Source organism: Homo sapiens, chromosome 1 (assembly GCF_000001405.40).
Source record: "Homo sapiens chromosome 1, GRCh38.p14 Primary Assembly".
NCBI classification, from domain to species: Eukaryota; Metazoa; Chordata; class Mammalia; order Primates; family Hominidae; genus Homo; species Homo sapiens.
In genome coordinates, this window is record NC_000001.11 from 155,704,027 (window position 1) to 155,726,527 (window position 22,501).

Below are 22,501 nucleotides of genomic sequence, written 5' to 3' on the forward strand. Positions count from 1 at the left end.
GTCCCAGTTACTTAGGAGGCTGAGAAAGGAGGATTACTTGATCCTAGGAGTTAGGGGCTGCAGTGAGCCTAGATTGTGCCACTGCACTCCAGCCTGGGCAACAGACTGAGACCCGATCTCACAAAATAATCAAGTAGTGAGGAAATACTGAAGAATTTTAAGCAAGGCTTCAGTGGAGAAAATGTTTAAGTCTGGATGCTGGTAGATCATTTATTTTAATTTGGGTTCAAGATGATAGTGTCCTAGAACGGAAGCTGATTACACGTTCTGACCGTCATTTCTCATAGTGTCTATAACATAGGCAAAATAATAGCTCCAGTGTCCACAGGCACGCCTATGGAAAGAAGTGCATCTGGACCATGTCACACACTCCTTCCTCTCCAGTACCCAGCCTGCTTCCTAGTCCACAGCTCTTCCAGTAGTGGTTGTGCCGGGGAGCATTGAGAAGATCTGGGGAGCACAGTGGGGCAGGTCAAATACTATTGGAGTGACATTGCACTCTAGAAAAGGAGCCCTGAAATCCCACAAGTGAAAAGGCAGGCAGGCCAGTAGAGACCATCCCAGTCTTATTCACCACTATAGACTCTGTGTAGTGTGGGCGTGTGGAAGCATGTCATATGCTTCTTGAATGACTGAGTTTAGGAGTGCTTTGGCGTCTTCATTAAATAGTATGGCTGGGCAGGTGGCTTATGCTTGTAATCCCAATACTTTGGGGGGCTGAGGCGGGAGGATCACTTAAGGTCAAAATTTTGAGAACAGCCTAGCCAACATGGCGAAACCCTGTATCTACTAAAAATACAAAAATAAGCTGGCGTGGTGGCGGGCGCCTGTAGTCCCAGGTACTTGGGAGGCTGAGGCAGGAGAACTGTTTGAACTCGGGAAGTGGATGTTGCAGTGAGCCGAGATCATGCCACTGCACTCCAGCCTGGGCGACAGAGCAATATTCCATCTCAGAAATAAACAAACGAATCCAGTATATTTAAGGCCAAGTGCGATGGCTCATACCTGTAATCCCAGCACTTCGAGAGGCTGAGGTGGGAGGATCACTTGAGTCCAGGAGTTCAAGACCATCGCTGGCAACATAATGAGACTCTGTCTCTACAAAATAAAAAAGCCAGGCACAGTGGCACGTGCCTGTAATTCCAGCTACTTGGGAGGCTGAGGTGGGAAGATCACTTAAGCAGGGGAGTTCGAGGCTGCAGTGAGCTGTGATTGTGCCACTGTATTCCAGCTTGGATGACAGAGCAAGACCCTGTCTCAAGAAAAATAACAAATGTGATAAAGTTGAAGCAGAGCATGGTGGCTCACACCTGTAATCCCAGCACTTTGGGAGGCTGAGGCAGGAGGATCACTTGAGCCCAGGAGTTCAAGACCATCCTGGGCACCATAGCAAGGGTTATGTCTACCCAAAAAAAAAAAAATTTTTTTTTTAATATGCCAGGCAATGGCACCTATATTCCCAGCTACTTGAAAGGCTGAGGCAGGCGGATCACTTGAACCCAAGAGTTTGAGGCTACAGTGTGCTGTGATCTTGCCATTGCACCCCATCCTGGGCAATGGAGCGAGACCCTGTCTCAAAAAAAAAAAGAAAGAAAAAAAAAACAGAAAGGAAATAAAATGAAAGGAATTTATGTTATTCTCTCTCTCTTTTTATTTATTTTTAAATATTATTTATTTATTTATTTATTTTTTGAGATGGAGTCTTGCTCTGTCACCCAGGCTGGCATGCAATGGCGCAATCTCAGCTCACTGCAACCTCTGCCTCCTGGGTTCAAGCGATTCTCCCGCCTCAGCCTCCTGAGTAGCTGGGAAAACAGACATGCACCACCATGCCAGGCTTATTTTTTATATTTTAGTAGAGATAGGGTTTCACCATATTGTCCAGGCTGGTCTTGAACTCCTGAGCTCAGGCAGTCCATCCATCTCGGCCTCCCAAAATACTAGGATCACAGGTATGAACCACTGCACCTGGCCTCTTTTCATTTATTTATCTATTTATTTAGACCAGATCTGAGTGTATCATGCAGGCTGGAGTACAGTGGCATGATCATAGCTCTTTAACACCTGGCCTCAAGTGAGCCTTTTGCCTCAGCCTCCTAAGTAGCTACGACTACAGTCCTGCACCACCCTGGCAAACTAATTAATTTTTTTCTTTTGTTTGTGGAATTGGCGGTCTTACTATGTACCCAAGCTGGTCTCAAACTCCTGGGCTCAAGCAGTCTTCTCATCCCCGCCTCCCAAAGGGCCGATATTACAGGCATGAGTCACCATGCCCAGCCTATGTGATTCTCTTGACTGTACTATAAATTCCTTGACTATAAGATCAGGGACTATAATAGTTTGTTCACCATTCCATTCACAGAGCCTGACACACAGTAGGTGCTCAGTAACTGTTGGGTTAATTGGTTGCAACTCTATGGTTGTTATTATTGTTGCTTTAAAGATTTGGGTTGTGAAAGGTGTGTCTGGGTGCGGTGGCTCACGCCTGTAATCCCTTTGGGAGGCTGAGGTGGGAGGATCACCTGAGGTCAGGAGTTCAAGACCAGCCTGGCCAACATGGTGAAACCCCGTTTCTACTACAAGTACAAAAATTAGCTGGACATGGTGGTGTATGCCTGTAGTCCCAGCTATTTAGGCAGCTGAGGCAGGAGAATCGCTTGAGCCCGGGGAGGCAAGGTTCCAGTGAACTCCAGCTTGGGTGACAGAGCAAGACTTCATCGCAAAATAAATAAATAAATAAATAAATAAAATAAAATAAAGAAAGGTGAAAATGATAGCCAAGGGGGCCGGGTGTGGTAATTCACACCTGTAATCCCAGCGCTTTGAGAGGCCTAGGCAGGTGGATCACCTGAGGTCAGGAGTTCGAGACCAGCCTGGCCAACATGGTGAAACCCTGTCTCTACTAAAAATACAAAAATTAGCTGGGCGTGGTAGCTGGCATCTCTAACTTCAGTTACTCAGGAGGCTGAGAGGAGAATCGCTTTAACCCGGGAGGTGGAGGTTGCAGTGAGCCGGGATCATGCCATTGCACTCCAGCCTGGGCAACAAGAGCGAAACTCCATCTCAAAAAAACCAAAACAAAACAAACAAAAAAAATTTATAATAGGCCAGGCGCGGTGGCTCACGCCTGTAATCCCAGCACTTTGGGAGGCTGAGGCGGGAGGATCACAAGGTCAGGAGATCGAGACCATCCTGGCTAACATGGTGAAACCCCGTCATTACTAAAAATACAAAAAATTAGCGGGGCGTGGTGGTGGGCGCCTGTAGTCCCAGCTACTCGGGAGGCTGAGGCAGGAGAATGGCGTGAACCCGGGAGGCGGAGCTTGCAGTGAGCCAAGATCGCGCCACTGCACTCCAGCCTGGGTGACAGAGCAAGACTCCGTCTCAAAAAAAAAAAAAAAATTTATAGCCAAAATGAACTAATTAATTACATAGACATTTAATTCAGTTATTCCATAACTACTGGATATTGAGAGTTACATTTAAGTATTTTAAACCTCTTAGCTCCAAAAGATTCGGGCTTTTAAATTAGATATTTCCTGTATACAAAAAAATGAATATAATACACATGATATGAAAATAATAAATTCTCATGTATCCATTATCCAGTGTTAGTTTATTATCAGTTTCCTTGTGTGCCCTGCCCCAATCTTCTTCCCTTTTCTTCTCCCCAGGAGTAACCATTATTCTAAATGTTGTTTTTATCATTCTCTTGCTTTTTTGTTTCAGTTTTCCTATTTATATCCCCCAAATAATTAATGAAGCTTTTTGGTTTTGAATTTTATATGTTATGTCATGCCAGATGTAATAGCGTTCACTCAGTATTCATTTTTGAGATCCATGTTGATGCATGCAATGGTAATTTTTTCATTTAATTGCTTTCTAATATTCCATTTTATGACTGTCTCTATCTACTGTTCTACTAAGGGACATTAGTTTTTTCTACAGTTTTTTTATAATTCATACTCTGCTAGTATGAACCTCCTTATATATATTTCCCAGTGTACATGTAGAAGTTTTGGTTTTGGTTTTTGTTTTGAGACAGAGTTTCACTCTTGTTGCCCAGTCTGGAATGCAATGGCACGATCTCGGCTCACTGCAACCTCTGCCTCCCAGGTTCAAGGAATCCTCCTGCCTCTGCCTCCCGAGTAGCTGGGATTACCGGTGTGTACCACCACGCCCAGCTAATTTTTTGTATTTTTAGTAGAGATTGGGTTTCACCATGTTGGCCAGGCTGCTCTTGAACTCCTGACCTCAGGTGATCCACCTGCCTTGGCCTCCCAAAGTACTGGGATTACAGGCTTGAGCCACCACACTTTCAACTTTTTGTTTGTACATTTTCAACTTTGCAAAGATAGTGTATTTTCAACTTTGTTTTGTGCATTTTCAACTTTGCAAAGATAGTGTATTTATACTTTCATTGACATGTATGAAAGTTGAATACAATGTAATGTTTCGCAGCCTATTTAACATTTGCTATTGTCTGACTTTTTAATTTTCTTTTTCTGTTTTTGTTTTTTTTTTTTTTTTTTTGAGACAGAGTCTCACTCTGTCACCTGGGCTAGCGTACAGTGGTGTGATATCAGCTCACTGCAACCTCTGGATGCAAGCAATCCTCCTGCCTTAGCCTCCAGAGTAGCTGGGACTACAGGTGCATATCACCACTCCTGACTAATTTTTTTTTTTTTTTTTTTTTGAGACACAGTCTTGCTCTGTCGCCCAGGCTGGAGTGCAGTGGCATGATCTCAGCTCACTGTAAGCTCCGCCTCCCAGTTTCATGCCATTCTCCTGCCTCAGCCTCCCAAGTAGCTGGGACTACAGGCGCCCACCACCACACCTAGCTATTTTTTTGCATTTTTAGTAGAGACGGGTTTTCACCGTGTTAGCCAGGACCGTCTCGATCTGACCTCGTGATCTGCCCGCCTCGGCCTCCCAAAGTGCTGGGATTACAGGCGTGAGCCACTGCGCGTGGCCTCCGACTAATTTTTTAAAATATTTTTTGGTAGAGATGAAGTTTTACCATGTTGGCCAGGCTGGTCTCGAATTCCTGACCTCAAGTGATCTGCCCACCTTGACCTCCCAAAGTGCTGGGATTACAGGTATGAGCCATTACACCTGGCCTATTTTCTTTTTTTTTTTTGAGGTGGTCTCACTCTGTCATCCATGCTGGAATGTAGTGCATCTCAGCTCACTGTGACCTCCACCTCCTCCCAAGCTCAAGTGATCCTCCTGCCTCGGCCTTCCGAGGAGCTGGGACTACAGGCATGCACTACCATGCCCTGCTAATTTTTATATTTTTTGTAAAGACAGGGTCTCACTTTGTTGCTGAGGCCAGTCTTGAACTCCTGGGCTCAAGCAATCCACCCACCTCAGCCCCGAGAAGTGTTCCTCCCAAAGTGTGGGGATTGTACATGTGAGCCACTGTGTCCCGCCTGACTTTTTTATTTTCCCAGTATGATGATTGTGAATGGTATCTGGTTTTCATCATTTTAATTAGCATTTCCCTGATTTGTAATGAGGTTCAAAAATCTTTTCATGGGTTCACTAGCCTTTTGTGTTTCGTTTTCTGTGAAATGCCTGTTCATGCCTTTTGCTCATTTTTTTAATGAAGCTGTAGGCATTCTTTATATATTCTAGATATTAATATAGATTATTAATCCCTATTAATCTATTGTCAGTTTTCCATGTTGCACACATCTTTTCCCATTTGTGGTTTACCTTTTCACTTTTTTTTTTTTTGTAACAGTGCAAGGATGATGCTGAAAGGAATAACAAGGCTTATCTCTAGGATCCATAAGGTGAGTCCTGACTGACCTGAACACTCTGTGCATACTGCCTTTAGGTTCCCAGATTCTTGTTTTCAGATGGATTCATTGTATCTAGAGTGAAATGCTCTGGAAAACTTCATATGTAACAGGTTTCAGTAGAATAATTGTGCTTGAGAATTTACCATGGAATAGGAGAATTAATATTTTTCCAGAAAACATAAGTAAGTTTGACTGTAATTATCTTTATTAACTTTATTTCTCTAGCCAACTAGAGAATGGTTATCATCCCTTAATGAAGTATTTAAAAGAAAAACAAGTTGCCAATTTACAGCTTTAGCATCTAAAATAGAATAAAAAATAAAATTGTACATGAAAAAGACCATTCTGCTGGTTTACTTCATTTTTTCACATATTTACCAAATAGTTTTTCAGTACTTTTTTTTTTTTTTTTTTGAGACAGAGTCTCGCTCTGTTGCCCAGGCTGGAGTGTGCAGTGGCGCAATCTCGGCTCACTGCAACCTCTGCCTCCTGGGTTCAAGCTATTCTTCTGCCTCAGCCTCCCGAATAGCTGGGACTACAGGCGCTTGCCACCATGCCCGGCTAATTTTTGTATTTTTAGTAGAAACGGTGTTTCATCATATTAGCTAGGCTGGTCTCGAACTCCTGACTTCGTGATCTGCCCACCTAGGCCTCCCAAAGTGCTGGGATTACAGGCGTGAGCCACTGTGCCCGGCCTTCAGTACCTTCTATATGGCAGGTACTCAGAATTCTAAGATGCCTCATTTCACTAATAATAGTTATTATTTGTTGGGTATTATTATGTGCCAGGTACTACACTAAGTGATTTATTTTTTTAATCCTCATGATCAACCCATGAACGAGATAATATCCTTGTTTCACAGATGGAGAAACTAAAGATGAGACTGGCTAGGTAACTTACCTGAGGAAATAGCCTGTGAGGTTGCAAAGCCCACACGAGATGCCAGGTCTGTCTGACTTCAAAGCCTGTGGCCTAACCACTGTGCTCTATTGCATTTTATGGTCCATGTTCTCCAGAAGCTTACAGTCCAGTAGAATCATGAAAAAATGACTATTTCAGTATGGTGCTCTTACAGCACCAAAGAGGAGCACCTGAGCGGGATTAGTCGAGTCAGCAGGAGATCCTGAAAGGCTCAGAACTGAGCCAGAAAGACTTGGTCATTTTCAGCTGATTATTTAATTACAGATTAGATTTCCTAGAAAAGGAGCCCTTCCTCCTATATGGCTCCCCCTGCATGTGCCCCCTTCCCTCAGGCCTATATATTAATACATAAAATAACCCATTATTATAAAATGAAACGAAAGCAAGGATCAGCAGAGGGATGGATTCTGGACTCAACTGATCATATTACAAGGCTAAAATAAATTTCCTCTCTCGGCCGGGCACAGTAGCTCATGCCTGTAATCCCAGCACTTTGGGAGGCCGAGGCAGGCAGATCACCTGAGGTCAGCAGTTTGAGACCAGCCTGGCCAACATAGTGAAACCCCGTCTCTACTAAAAATACAAAAATTAGCTGCGTGTGGTGGCACACGCCTGTAATCCCAGCTACTTGGGAGGCTGAGGTAAGAGAATCGCTTGAACCCAAGAGGTAGAGGTTGCAGTGAGCCAAGATCACGCCACTGCACTCTAGCCTGGGCAATAGAGCGAGACTCCATCTCAAAAGAAAAAAAAAAATTTCCTCTTTCTTAATAACAGACAACAAAGACCTGAGGCTAGACTGTAGAGTGCTGTTGGTGAGAGAAAGTTTTGTTTTTTTTTTTTTACTAGTTTGGTTCAGGGTGACTGTATTAGTCAGGGTTCTCTACAGGGACAGCACTAATAGGATAGAAGTATATATGAAGGAGAGTTTGTTAAGGAGTATTGAGTCACACCATCTGGCGAAGTCCCACAGTAGGCCGTGAGCAAGCTGAGGAGCAAGTAAGCCAGTCCAAGTCCCAAAACTTCAAAAGTAGGGAAGCTGACAGTGCAGTCTTCAGTCTGTGGCTAAAGGCCTGAGAGCCCCTGGCAAATCACTGTTGTAAGTCCAAGGGTCCAAAAGCTGAAGAACTTGGAGTCCAGTGTTCGAGGGCGGGAAGCATCTAGCTCAGGAGAAAGATGAAGGCTGGAAGACCCAGCAAGTCGGCTCATCCTACCTTCTTCTGCCTGCTTTATTCTAGCTGCCCTGGCAGGTGATTAGATGGTGTCCACCCACACTGAGGGTGGGTCTGCGTCTCCCAGTCCACTGACTCAAATGTTAATCTCCTTTGGCAACACCCTCACAGACACACCCAGGAACAATACTTTACAGCCTTTAATCCAATCAAGTTGACGCTTAATATTAACCATCACGGTGATCTTCTAGATTGGCTCACAAATGCTCTTTCAGAAACTGCAGGATGTTCATTCTGGAACTGTACAGAGGCAATTGTACAGATGGTTGTTTTCTCTGGAAACAACAGTCTACTTGAGTGATAACATATATAAAACTTTAAGAACTAAAGATTCCATTTTGCTGTAGGCCAGGCATGGTGGCTTACACCTGTAATCCCAGCACTTTGGGAGGCCAAGGCAGGCAGATCACCTGAGGTCGGGAGTTCGAGACCAGCCAGACCAACATGGAGAAACTCCGTCACTACTAAAAATACAAAATTAGCCAGGCGCGGTGGCGCATGCCTGTAATCCCAGCTACTCGGGAGGCTGAGGCAGCAGAATCGCTTGAACCTGGGAGACAGAGGTTGCAGTGAGCCAAGATCACACCATTGCACTCCAGCCTGGGCAACAAGAGTGAAACTCCGTCTCAAAAAAAAAAAAAAAAAAAAAAAGATTCCATTTTGCTAGCTTTTAATTTGCTTCAAAAAGTACCTGTAGTTTCAGCTACTTGGGAGGCTGAGGCAGGAGGATCATGTGGGCCCAGGAATTTGAGACTGTCCGGGGCAATATAGCAAGACCCTACCCTATGTCAAAAAAAAAAGTGTAACAAAAATGTCATCACATTACTGTAGAAATAGGACCACCTTGTGACCCTTGAATAGTTTGTTTTCCACTCTGCTTTCTCTCCAGCTAAAGAGGCATGGTGCTTTCTCTCCGGTAGATAAAATTGAGTAGCGTTTAAGTAGTACTAGGGTGTGTTATTCAGATTGCTACCCTGAAGTAACAAGCCTTGTATTCTCAGTGGCCTAACACAAAGGATATTGTTTGTGTTGTGTGTATGTGTTTTGCTTTGTTTTTGCTGTTCCTGTCTTTCAAAAAGGCTTTGCAAGCAAGACTGAAGTCTGGATGGAGGGACAAAAGTTTACCTTCTTGGGATACATCGCAACATATAGCTTTTAAGGTGGGGAGGGAGAGATAATTTATACCTCACACTTAATTGGCTCTGATTAGAAAGGACACAATGACACAAGTTATTTTCATTCATAGGTCTTTAGCCAAAGGAATCACATGACCCCTCCTGTTTCTGCAAGGGAGGCTGAGAAGTGTAGAGAACGATTTGGATATTTGGATATTTCCCAAGCATTGCTGCTTCAGCTGTAATTTACAGTCATACATTCTCAGACAAAGCTGGAGCAACTCTAGTACTTGACAGTTACTTTATATTAAAATCTACAAGTAATGGTTCAGAAGTTTCTGTGTATACTTCACTAAGTTTCCTATAGAGCATTTACTTTCCTTCGTGGATGCTTTACGTACTCTCTCATTGCATGTTTTCAGTTTCAGATTCTTTATTCCAGGGCAAACTAAATACCTGTAGTGTGTTAAGTACTCAGAGAGGGAGATATGAAAATGAATAAAATCTGACCCCTTTTCTTCCGAGCGTGTAGCCTAGGAGACAAGCATGTGTAAGATAACATGATACAGTTTTTTTAAAATAGAGACAAACTTGGATGTCAATTCTAGTTCACCACCTAAAACTCTGTGACCTTAATCAAAATTACTCAGCTTCCCTGAACCTTATCTTCCCCATCATAACACAGGGTTGATAATATTCTGCCTATCTTCTAGGATTTCTAGGTTTAAAACTAGTACATGTACAATACTGTATTGCCTAACATCTAATAGATACTCAGTTAACAGTAGGCATGAGTACAACTCAAGGCAGTGTAATAAAATTGCTGTGCAATACAAAGAGTGCTATTAGCAGAAAGGAAAGAGAATTACTTTTGACTGGAGGTGTCTGGCAAATTTTCACTGAGGATGTGACATTCGAGTTGAGGCTTGATGAATGGGAAAGATTTAAATGGGGAGAGAGGGAAGTTGAAGTAGAATGAGCAGAAGTATAGAGGCATAAAAGTGACATGTTTCAGCATGGTCATATGGTTATAAATGAAATTACAAAGGTAGGCTGAAGTCATCACAGTGGTCTAGATTGTTATGCTAAGGAATTTGAGACTTATTTTGACATCGTTCTGGAACCTTCTAAGCTTTTTAAAATTTTTTTATTGTCGGGGTCTCACTGTGCTTCCCTGGCTGATGTGGAACTCCTGCCCTCAAGCAGTCCTTCCACTTTAGTTCCCAACTAGCTGGGACTACAGGAGTGGACCACCACACCTGGCTCCATCCAAGCTTTTAGATTAGTCGAAGGTTAAACCTATTTTCGGGAAGGTTAAGGACTATGAACGATGAAAAAATCAAAGATTTAGAGATAAAGATACAAGTTAAAATGTTATGTGTTGGCTGGGCATAGTGGCTCACACCCATAATCCCAGCACTTTGGGAGGCTAAGGCGGGCAGATCACCTGAGGTCAGGAGTTCCAGACCAGCATGACCAACATGGTGAAACCCAGTCTCCACTAAAAATACAAAAATTAGTCAGGCGTGATGGCGGGCGCCTGTAATCCCAGCTACTGAGGCAGGAGAACCACTTGAACCTGGGGGCAGAGGTTGTAGTGAGCTGAGATCATGCCATTGCATCCCAGCCTGGGCGACAAGAGTGAGACTCCGTCTCAAAAAAAAAGAAAAACAAAAGTGATGGGTACAATACTGTCTCTCAACCTGTGTAGTGGGAATGTTAGACACATAATTTAGGATCATGTCATAAAATGGGTGTAAGTGTGAGGAGGGATGGTACAGAGATAACATATATTTTCTGCACTCAAAAAGCTGCTTGGTAGGCTGGGCACGGTGGCTCACGCCTGTAATCCCAGCACTTTGGGAGCCTGGGGTGGGAGGACCACCTGAGGTCAGGAGTTTGAGACCAGCCTGGCCAACATGGCAAAATCCTGTCTCTACTAAAAATAGAAAAATTAGCTGGGCATGGTGGCACACTCCTATAATCCCAGCTGCTCAGGAGGCTGTGTCAGGAGAATCACTTGAACCCAGGAGGCGGAGGTTGCAGAGAGCCAAGATTGTGCCACTGCACCCCAGCCTGGGCAACAGAGCAAGACTCCATCTCAAAAAAAAAAAAAAAACCCACAAAAAGCTGCTTGGTGAGCCAGGTACAGTGGCTCACACCTATCATCCCAGCACTTTGGGAGGCTGAGGCAGGAGGATCGCGTGAGTGCAGCAAGTTGGAGAGCAGCCTGGGCAACATAGCAAGACCCTGTCTACAAAAAATTAAAAAAATTAGCTGGGCATAGTGGCATGCACCTGTAGTCCCAGCTACTTGGGAGCCTGAGATGGGAGCATGGCTTGGGCCTGGGAGTTTGAGACTACAGTGTGCCGTGATCGTGCCACTGCACTCCAGCCTGGGTGACAGAGCAAGACCCTGTCTTAAAAAAAAGAGAGAGAGAGAGAGAGAGAAGCTGCTTGGTGAGACTATAAAATACTGGTAGCTTTCATATGATAACCTATTTATTAAGCAACTCCCTTATTACACTATCCATTATATTTCTGTTCTCTTGCTTCTCCTGGCTGCATTCCCTAATCTTTTCCTCATAACACATCTTTTCACTTTCTACATAAGGTTTGTTATCCTTAAGCTCAGTTTTGGGGTTTTTCACTTACCATTTTGTTAGATTTGTCTACCGAAATCCGCCCCCTTCCCCTCCCTGTTGGTTCAGAGGTTTCGGTGTACAGTTCACTGAGTTACCTATAGAGCAGTTTGCTTTCACTTAGCTGTGTATTTGACATACTCCCTTATTACATGTCTCTAATGAAAGATCCTTTATTCCAGGGCACAATTAGCAGGAAAATTGTTACAGGGCATGTAATTATAGCTGTCACATAGTGAGGAGCATTGCACTGATCCCCTGATAACTGAGGTGACTGACAGAGAATGAGAATTACACAGTTTTGACAACCATTCATCGCTGTGCAAGCGCATTAAAAGAGCTTTCCTGCTTCAAGTTTGCTAATGGCTATGCTATGTATGCTCCTGAATAATCTCTGACAGAATTGTTTGTTTCCGTATAGGACAGACCCCTGATAAGGCAATACACAGACTGGAACAGATACAGAATATGAATAATGTCATTGGACTTAGTGAATTTTAAATAATAACAGGGATCCTTTTTACATAGAAGAAAAATGTTGCCGGGCGCGGTGGCTCACGCCTGTAATCCCAGCACTTTGGGAGGCAGAGGCGGGCGGATCATGAGGTCATGAGATCGAGACCATCCTGGCTAACACAGTGAAACCCCTACTAAAAATACACCTCTACTAAAAATACAAAAAATTAGCCAGGCGTGGTGGCGGGTGCCTGTAGTCCCAGCTACTCGGGAGGCTGAGGCAGGAGAATGGCGTAAACCCAGGAGGCGGAGCTTGCAGTGAGCCGAGATCGCGCCACTGCACTCCAGCCTGGGCGACAGAGTGAGACTCCATCTCAAAAAAAAAAAGAAAAATGTATGTTAGTGACATCCCTATTGCAGACATGGCTCACCTTCTCAGTGTTTTGGCAAGCATAAAAAGTTTGATTAGCCAGGTGTGGTGGCTCAAGCCTGTAATCCCAGCATTTTGGGAGGCAGAGGCGGGCAGATCACCTGAGTTCAGGAGTTCAAGACCAGCCTGGCCCATATGGTGAAATCTTGTTTCTACTAAAAATATAAAAAATCAGCCGGGTGTGGTGGCGCACGCCTGTAATCCCAGTTACTCAGGAAGCTGAGGCAGGAGAATCACTTGAACCTGGAAGGCGGAGGTTGTAGTGAGCCTGAGATCACGCCATTGCACTCCAGCTTGGGCAACAAGAGAGAAACTCCATCTCAAAAAAAAAAAAAAAAAGTTTGATAACCCCGTAACACTGAAATGGTTTCTCTTATAGTTGGACCCTGGGCGTTTTTTACACATGGGGACCCAGGCTCGCCAAAGCATTGCTGCTCACCTAGATAACCAGGTTCCAGTTGAGAGTCCGAGAGCTATTTCCCGCACCAATGAGAATGACCCGGTGAGTTACTAATATGTATATGGGGTTTCTCAGGGCTTATGATTTGTGTTCCTGTCCTCATTTTGCATAGGAAAACTGAAACTGAAAGAAGCTTAGTAGATTTGCATTTACTCAGATAGTGCACCTGAGATAGCACTCTGGAACCCAGATTCTCCCTGTCCCTGTCTGATACTGTGGTAACATACACTGGCCAGCTCGGTCTGTATCAGTTCCCATGTAATCTCTACTAGTGAATTCACCTAGTTCCACGGATTTTGCTGAGCATAGAGTTGTCGAATACTCAATACTTACTAAGTTTAATTTCTTACTGGGCAAGTTTACCAATTATTATTGCTTATATTATGTGTTGGGTGACAGGCTTTTTCTTAAAGGACCATGTAGTGAATATTTCAGGCCGATGGACTGAGATGATCTGTCACAAGTACTCAACTCTGCCATAAACAAATGGGTGTGAACATGTTCCAGTAAAACTCTATTTACAAAACAGGTGCCCAGCCATAACTTAACAAACTCTGGTATGGAGAGTACTAAAGAAATTAAACTACTTGCCCACAATTTTCTACCAGGGCAGGTTCAGAACCCAATTTTTCTAATAACCAATCTGGTGCTATTTTGCAGTTTTGTAAGTGGATTTCCTAGGGTCTGGAGAGGGAACTAACTTGGTTTGTTGTGAGAAGAGCAGCATTTAAAGTGAATTTTGTCTGCAGAAGCCAGGATTCCAGCAGTATCTAGTGTTGCATTTTCTAGTCCAGTTCCCCATTAGACTGGATATTGATTTCTTTTTGTTGCTGCCTCTCATAAATGAAATTAATTTGTGGTGTGTGCTGTAATGTTAGGAACCAATAGCTTTCTTTCCCTGCCCCTACCCTCTGAGTCTTCCCATCTTAATATAGTCTGTGTGGAAAGAAAAAGTAAACACCCATTACCCAAAACATGATCTCAGCAGGGTGTGTTTTAAATATATCTCTAGGCTTCGGCCATGCGGGGTGGCTCACGACTGTCATCCTAGCATTTTGGGAGGCCGAGGCAGGAGGATCACTTGAGGTCAGGAGTTCTAGACCAGCCTAGCCAACATGGCGAAAGCCTGTCTCTACTAAAAATACTAAAATTAGCTGGGTGTGGTGGCGGGCACCTGTAATCCCAGCTACTCAGGAGGCTGAGGCAGGAGAATTGCTTGAACCCAGGAGGCAGAAGTTGCAGTGAGCCAAGATCGCGCCACTGCACTCCAGGCTGGGCAAGAGAGCAAGACTCTGTCTTAAAAAGTATATATATATGGCTGAGTGAGGTGGCTCACGCCTGTAATCCCAGCATTTTGGGAAGCCAAGGCAGGCGGATCATGAGGTCAGGAGACTGAGACCATCCTGGCTAACACAGTGAGACCCCATCTCTACTAAAAATACAAAAAAAAATTAGTTGAGCATGGTGGCGGGCGCCTGTAGTCCTAGCTACTCGGGAGACTGAGGCAGGAGAATGGTATGAACCTGGAGGTGGAGCTTGCAGTGAGCTGAGATCGTGCTACTGCACTCCAGCCTGGGCGACAGTGCAAGACTCTGTCTCAAAAAAAAAAAAAGAAAGAAAGATAGATAGATAGATAGATAGATAGATAGATAGATAGATAGATATAGATATAGATGAAGATATATATATATACCATTCACCTCTTTTCACAAACACAAAATGAAGTAGAATAAATGAATCAAGCCACTGAAGTGTCTTTTCAGCTTTCTTTGTAATTGCAGTCCTTTTATCTGCCAATTCCTCTGGGGTTTCTATGGAAACAGCAGCATGCAGATGATCTTGTCACATGACTGGAGCATCTCTATACACAGCACAGAAGAATCCAGATGGCAAGAATTGTCTTTGCTACCCCTACATCTACGGTTTACTTTGATGAGCAATTGGCTTCATTATTTGGGCCACCACTTTTATATACATACTGGGTTTGAGGGCAGCAACCAGCATTCTTGGCTAAGATAAATGAGGCTGGGCACAGTAGCTTATGCCTGTAATCCCAGGACTTTGGGAGGCCTAGGTGGGAGGATCACTTGAGCTTAGGAGTTCTAGACTAGCCTAGGCAACATAGCAAGACCCTAACTCTAAAACAATTTTTTTTTTTTTTTTTTTGAGACAGAGTTTCACTCTTCTTGCCCAGGCTGGAGTGCAATGGCGCAGTCTCGTCTCACTGCAACCTCCACCTCCTGGGTTTAAATGATTTTCCTGTCTCAGCCTCCCAAGTAGCTGTGATTACAGGCATCCACCACCATGCCTGGCTAAGTTTTGTATTTTTAGTACAGATGGGGTTTTACCATGTTGGCCAGGCTGGTCTTGAATTCCTGACCTCAGGCAATCCGCTCACCTTGGCCTCCTAAAGTGCTGGGATTACAGGCATGAGCCACTGTGCCCAGCCAAAAAAATTTTCTTTTTCTTTTTCTTTTTTTTAGACGGAGCCTTGCTCTGTCACCCAGGCTGGAGTGCAGTGGCGTGATCTTGGCTCCCTGCATCCTCCACCTCCCGGGTTCAAGCAGTTCTCTGCCTCAGCCTCCCGAATAGCTGGGATTACAGGCGCCTGCCACCGTGCCTGGCTAATTTTTTGTATTTTTTGTAGAGACAGGCTTTCACCCTCTTGGCCAGGCTGGTCTTGAACTCCTGACCTCATAATCCACCCACCTTGGCCTCCCATAGTGCTGGGATGACAGGCATGAGCCACTGCACTCGGCCAAAAGTTTTTCAATTAGCAGTGCATAGTGGCATGCGCCTGTAGTCCCAGCTACTCGAGAGGTTTAGGTACAAGGATCACTTGAGCCCAGGAGGTCAAGGCTATAGTCAGCTGAGATCAGGCCACTGCACTCCAGTCTGGGCAACAGGCTTTCTCAAAACAATGGGAGATATCTTTTCCAGCTTTAAGAGATGAGTGGTCCAGGTGCAGTGGCTCACGCCTGTAATCCCAACACTGAGAGGCCAAAGTGGGAGGATCACTTGAGCTCAGGAGTTCAAGACCAACCTGGGCAACATAGCAAGACCTCATCTCTACCAAAAAAGTAAAAAAATGAGCCAGGTGTAGTGGTGCACACCTGTGGTCCCAGCTACTTGTGAGGCTGAGGCGGGAGGATCTCTTGAGCCTGGGAATTGGAGGCCTCAGTGAGCCGTGATTGTACCACTGCATTCCAGCCTGGTAAACCGAGCAAGATCTTGTCTCAAAAAAAAAAAAAAAAAAAAAAAAAAAAGACATAAAGGCCGGGTGCAGTGGCTCACGCCTGTAATCCCAGCACTTTGGGAAGCTGAGGCAGGTGGATCACTTGAGGTCGGGAGTTCAAGACCAGCCTGTCTCTACTAAACATGGAGAAACCCTGTCTCTACTAAAAATACAAAATTAGCCAGGCATGGTGGCACATGCCTGTGATCCTAGCTACTTGGGAGGGTGAGGCAGGAGAATTGGTTGAACCCGGGAGGCGGAGGTTGTGGTGAGCCAAGATCGCGCCATTACACTTCGGCCTGGGCAACAAGAGTGAAACTCCATCTCAAAAAAAAAACAAAACAAACAAACCAAAAAAAACACATAAAGACATGAGTGAATAGCAGGCCTTATCCAATTTTCAAAGTCTTGGTCACAGATAAAAAGACAAGGCTGGGCTAGGCGCTGTGGCTCACGCCTGTAATCCCAGCACTTTGGGAGGTCGAGGTGAGCGGATCACGAGGTCAAGAGATCAAGACCATCCTGGTCAACATGGTGAAATCCCATCTCTACTAAAAATACAAAAATTAGCTGGGCGTGGTGGCGCGTGCCTGTAGTCCCAGATGCTCGGGAGGCTGAGGCAGGAGAATCTCTTGAACCTGGGAGGCGGGGGTTGCAGTGAGCCGAGATTACACCATTGCACTCCAGCCTGGGTGACAGAGCGAGACTCTGTCTCAAAAAAAAAAGAAGACAAGGCTGGGCAAGATGGCTCACCCTGTAATCGCAGCATTTTGGGAGGCTGAGGCAGGCAGATCACCTGAGGTCAGGAGTTTAAGACCAGCCTGGCCAACATGGTGAAACCCCGTCTCTACTAGAAATACAAAAATTAGCCGGGTGCGGTGGCAGATTGTAATGCCAGCTACTGGGAGGCTGAGGTAGGAGAATTGCTTGTACCCAGGAGGCGGAGGTTGCAGTGAGCTAAGATCGCACCATTGCACTCCTGCCTGGGTGACAAAAGTAAAACTCCATTTTAAAAATAATATATATATATGTATGTGTATATATATATGTATGTATGTGTATATATATATGTATGTATGTATATATATATATATATACACATAGACATACATATATACACACACATAGATAAGACAAAAAAGAAAGTCTTGGTCACTTTGTCACCATTATACCTGTTTGCACTCTTATTTCCTAGGCCAAGCATGGGGATCAGCACGAGGGTCAGCACTACAACATCTCCCCCCAGGATTTGGAGACTGTATTTCCCCATGGCCTTCCTCCTCGCTTTGTGATGCAGGTGCTCAAGACAGGGAATGGAATTGGAGGGAGCCCAGAATACAAGCTGCTGCTAGCAAAGGGGTGGGGCTAAATGAGAAGAAAATTTAAAAAGATGAAATTTAATCTGAAAAACAGAAATTCATGTGTTGATTACCTTTTGTGACTAGTACAATTACTTTAAGCTCATGTTTAAACAATATTGATGTTTTCCTCCTTGTATAGCCCAAGAAGATTCCAGTAATTTCAGCATCAAATAACTGTTTTAAATGAACTTAAAATTTGCCTTGGCAAAATATCATGAAAATAGTTAATATGCTGCACAAAAGCAAAATCATAGTACACTCCTGAGCTAAATAGAAGCAATATTTTGATTAGATGCATTGGTTTTTATTCTCTTGTGGATTTTGTGAAAATGTTATCAAACTTGCCTGTGCAGGTGAGTTTTAGCATGCGAGCCAGAGGATCTCATTTCTTTAGTGTGGTTTATTTCGGGAAATTAGATGAATAATAAGGGCATAACAGGCCGGGCGCTATGGCTCACGCCTGTAATCCCAGCTGCACTTTGGGAGGCCAAGGTGGAAGGATCACTTGGGCCCAGGAGTTCGAGACCAGTCTAGGCAACATAGGGAGACCTGTCTCTACAAAAATTAAAAATTAAAAATTAGCTGGGCATGATGCACACCTGTAGTCACAGCTACTCAGGTGGCTGAGGTTGGAGGATCGCTTGAGCTCAGGAGGTGAGGGCTTCAGTGAGCCATGATTGCACCACTGTACCCCAGCCTGGGCAACAGAGCAAGACCTTATCTCAAGCATAAAATAAAATAAGGTATAACAGGCCAGGCAAGGTAGTTTATGCCTGTAGTCTCAGCACTTTGGGAGGTGAAGGTGGGAGGATTGTTTGAGCGCAGGAGTTCAAGACCAGCTGGGCAATATAATGAGACTGTATCTTTATTTAGAAAAGAAAAACATGGGCAACCCTCTCGGGTCCCCTTCCACACTGTGGAAGCTTTGTTCTTTTGCTCTTCTCAATAAATCTTGCTGCTGCTCACTCAAAAAAAAAGAAAAACATTTAGTCATGTGTGGTAGCTGCTTCGGAGGCTGAGGCAGGAGGATGGCTTGAGCCCAGGAGTTCAGGCTGCAGTGAGCTACGATAGTGCCACGGCACTCCAACTCAGACAACAGAGTGAGACCCTGTCTCCAAAAAACAATTTTAATTAAAAAAAATTTTGTTGAAGAAATCATCTGCAGTGGCACTTTAAACTGTTCCAAGACATACACAGTACAATGTTTATTCAGCTTCAGAGCTGTGAGGTTCTATCTTTAATTAACTATTTGAAGTTGTTTTCAGACTGGCTTAACCAACAATGCTCTGTAAGAACTTACAGGTTCTTTTCATAATTTTCATTTACATGAAGGCCTACTTCCTCACCATTGTTTGTGGATATTAGCATTGTCATACTGCCTAATATGACTTTTTTTTTTTTAAATACTGCTCCTTTTGGAGCAGACCTAACTCACGGACAGTGTGCCCAGGGTAGCTGACTTTATTTTATTACTATTATTTTAATTATAGAGACAGGGTCTCACTCTGACAACCAGGCTGGAGTACAGTGGCGTGACCACAGCCCACAGCACACTCTACATCTCTGACCTCCTGGGCTCAAGCGATCCTCCTGTATTGGCATCTCAAAGTGCTGGGATTACAGGTGTGAGCCACAGCTCCCAGCCCTGATGTGACTTTTTTTTGAAATGGAGTTTCACTTTTGTCGCCCAGGCTGGAATGCAGTGATGCGATCTCAGCTCACTGCAACCTACGCCTCCTGGGTTCAAGTGATTCTCCTGCCTCAGCCTCCCAAAGAGCTGGGATTACAGGTGCTCGCCACCACGCCTGGCTAATTTTTATATTTTTAGTAGACATGGGGATTTGCCATATTGGCCAGGCTGGTCTCCAACTCCTAACCTCAGGTGATCCACCTGTCTTGGCCTCCCAAAGTGCTGGGATTACAGGGATGAGCCACCACGCCCAGCCAACATTTGTTTTAATACCTTTATCATGTTTTTTTGAACATTGAGCCTTCCATTAAGTTTGGAATTGCCTGTCAAATCCTACACCAATTCAATTGTTTTGTTAGGATTTCTTTTAAAAATATCAACACTGGCTGGGTACAATGGCTCACGCCTGTAATTCCAGCACTTTGGGAAGCTGAGGTGGGCAGATTACTTAAGGCCAGGAGTTCAAGATGAGCCTGGCCAACATGGTGAAACTCCATCTCTACTAAAAATACAAAAATTAGCTGGGCGTGGTGGCACACGCCTGTAGTCACAGCTACTTGTGAGGCTGAAGCAGGAGAATCGCTTGAACCCGGGAGGCGGAGGTTGCAGTGAGCTGAGATCGTGTCACTGCACTCCAGCCTGTGCGACAGAGCGAGACTCTGTCTCAAAAAAAAAAAAAAAAAATTAACACTATTTTAGTTATACTTACAAACAGTATTTGTTAGATATTCTTATTAGTAGACATATTTTAATATTTTCTTTGCAAATCAGTTTCACACACATTAGTACTTCCCAAATTTCCCACCAAAGTATTCTGGTAGCAAAAGGGGAATTAAACTCTGAAAGGTTAGTATGCTGGAGGTATGAGGTATGGATGGCCTTAGAGTTGTGAGGCAGCTGGTCACACCTGCTCCTGAGCCGCCATGTATTTAGTTCTAGAGAAAAAAGTCTAAATGGTTAAAGTAATAAAAATAAATTTTAGGCCAGGTGCGGTGGCTCACGCCTATAATCCCAGCACCTTGGGAGGCTGAGACGGGTGGATCATGAGGTCAGGAGTTCGAGACCAGCCTGACCAACATGGTGAAAGCCTGTCTCTACTAAAATTACAAAAATCAGCCTGGCATGGTGGTGGCACCTGTAATCCCAGCTACTGAGGAGACTGAGGCAGAAGAATTGCTTGAACCCCGGAGGCGGAGGTTGCAGTGAGCCGAGATCACACCACTGCACTCTAGCCTGGGTGACAGAGTGAGACTCTGTCTCAAAAAAAGAAAAAAAAAAAAAATCAACTAAAAATAAATTTTAGGCCAGGTGCAGTGGCTCACGCCTGTAATCCCTGCACTTTGGGAGGCCAAGACGGGGGTGTCACCTGAGGTCGGGAGTTTGAGACCAGCCTGACCAACATGGAGAAACTCCTTCTGTACTAAAAATACAAAATAGCCGGGCATGGTGGTGGGTGCCTGTAATCCCAGCTACTCGGGAGGCTGAGGCAGGAGAATCACTTGAACTGGGAGGCAGAGGTTGTGGTGAGCCGAGATCGTGCCATTGCACTCCAGCCTGGGCAACAAGAGTGAAACTCCGTCTCAAAAAAAAAAAAAGAAAAAAAATTTAAAGAGTTAATGTTTATTGAATTATTAACTTGTGTCAGAAATTTTAAGCATTTTTCTATATGCTTTCCATATTTACAGTGGCCCTAAGTGGTATACATAATTTTGTTATGAGATATATCAATTATTTATAGATTTCAGCTGAGATAGAATATATGCTTCAGTAATAGGAATAATCAAAAGCTGACTATCATGTTACTTAGTGCGGAATAATGTATTTCAGTTTTTAGCTAAGTTATATGGATAGATTTTCAAACTCAGTACCAACCCAGCTTCTCCTAACTGAGTAAATTAGAGGCATGCAATCTGATGGTCTTGGTTGCCACTTTAGGCAGAGTATATATACCACCCCCCACCCACTCCTTCCACACCCACCCACTCTTTCCTTCTTTCCTACTTTATCAGGTGAAGACATTCAGTGAAGCTTGCCTGATGGTAAGGAAACCAGCCCTAGAACTTCTGCATTACCTGAAAAACACCAGTTTTGCTTATCCAGCTATACGATATCTTCTGTGTATCCTTTCCTGCCTGCGTGGACCCTCATGAACCAATGCTTTCTCCCCTCAAATAAGGCAACAGAAGAAATGAAAAAAAGTACTGTTGAGGCCGGGCATGGTAGCTCACACCTATAATCCCAGGAGTTTGGGAAGCCGAGGCAGGCGTATCGCCTGAAGTCAGGAGTTCAAGACCTGCCTGGCCAACATGGCGAAACCCCGCATTTACTAAAAATGCAATATATTAGCCGGGTGTGGTAGCGTGCACCTGTAATCCCAGCTACTTGGGAAGCTGAGGCAGGAGAATCGCTTGAACCCGGGAAGCGGAGGTTGCTGTGAGCTGATATCAAGCCACTGCACTCCAACCCCATCTCAAAAAAACAAAACAAAGCATAACTACTGTTCACATACAAGTGATCCTTCCAGTCATGTTTTCTTTAACAACATATACTTTAGATGGAGAGAAGGGAACAGGAAAAACCCTAAGTCTTTGCCATGTTATTCATTTCTGTGCAAAACAGGACTGGCTGATACTACATATTCCAGATGGTAAGAACTTCCTGTTGTTTCTTCTGTCTGTTAGGTTTAGTTATCCTGTTACTGTGGTAGCCTTGCAGCTTTAATTTTCTTTTCTTTTCTTTTCTTTTTTTTTTTTTTTTTGAGATGGAGTTTCGCTCTTGTCGGCCAGTCTGGAGTGCAGAGGCGCAATCTCAGGTCACCGCAACCTCCGCCTCCCAGGCTCAAGAGATTCTCCTGCCTCAGCCTCCCAAGTAGCTGGGATTACAGGCGCCCACCACACCACCACGCCCAGCTAATTTTTTTTTTTTTTTTTTTTTGAGACGGAGTCTTGCTCTGTCGCCCAGGCTGGAGTGCAGTGGCACGATCTCAGCTCACTGCAAGCTCCGCCTCCCGGGTTCACACCATTCTTCTGCCTCAGCCTCCTGAGTAGCTGGGACTACAGGCGCCCGCCACCATGCCCGGCTAATTTTTTTTGTATTTTTAGTAGAGACAGGGTTTCACCATGTTGGCCAGGCTGGTCTCGAACTCCTGACTTCAG

At 44.4% G+C, this 22,501-nt stretch overlaps 1 protein-coding gene across 18 annotated transcripts in view; it reads left to right on the forward strand.

Moving 5' to 3' along the window:
- Positions 1-22,501, forward strand: part of DAP3 (death associated protein 3) — a 51,063-nt gene that overhangs the window by 16,079 nt on the left and 12,483 nt on the right. For 6 of the 18 annotated variants that reach the window (XM_047430081.1, XM_047430085.1, XM_024449697.2 and 3 more), the window contains 5 exons: positions 5,747-5,798; positions 12,980-13,102; positions 17,491-17,592; positions 21,356-21,464; positions 21,901-21,993. In XM_047430081.1, coding sequence (XP_047286037.1) covers positions 5,754-5,798; positions 12,980-13,102; positions 17,491-17,592; positions 21,356-21,464; positions 21,901-21,993 — 472 coding nt within the window. In that variant the 5' untranslated portion in view covers positions 5,747-5,753. Of the gene's footprint in view, positions 1-5,006; positions 5,100-5,746; positions 5,799-12,979; positions 13,103-17,490; positions 17,593-21,355; positions 21,465-21,900; positions 21,994-22,501 lie in introns of all 18 variants that reach the window. The other 12 variants (XM_047430092.1, XM_024449700.2, XM_017002292.2 and 9 more) reach the window with 4 other exon arrangements.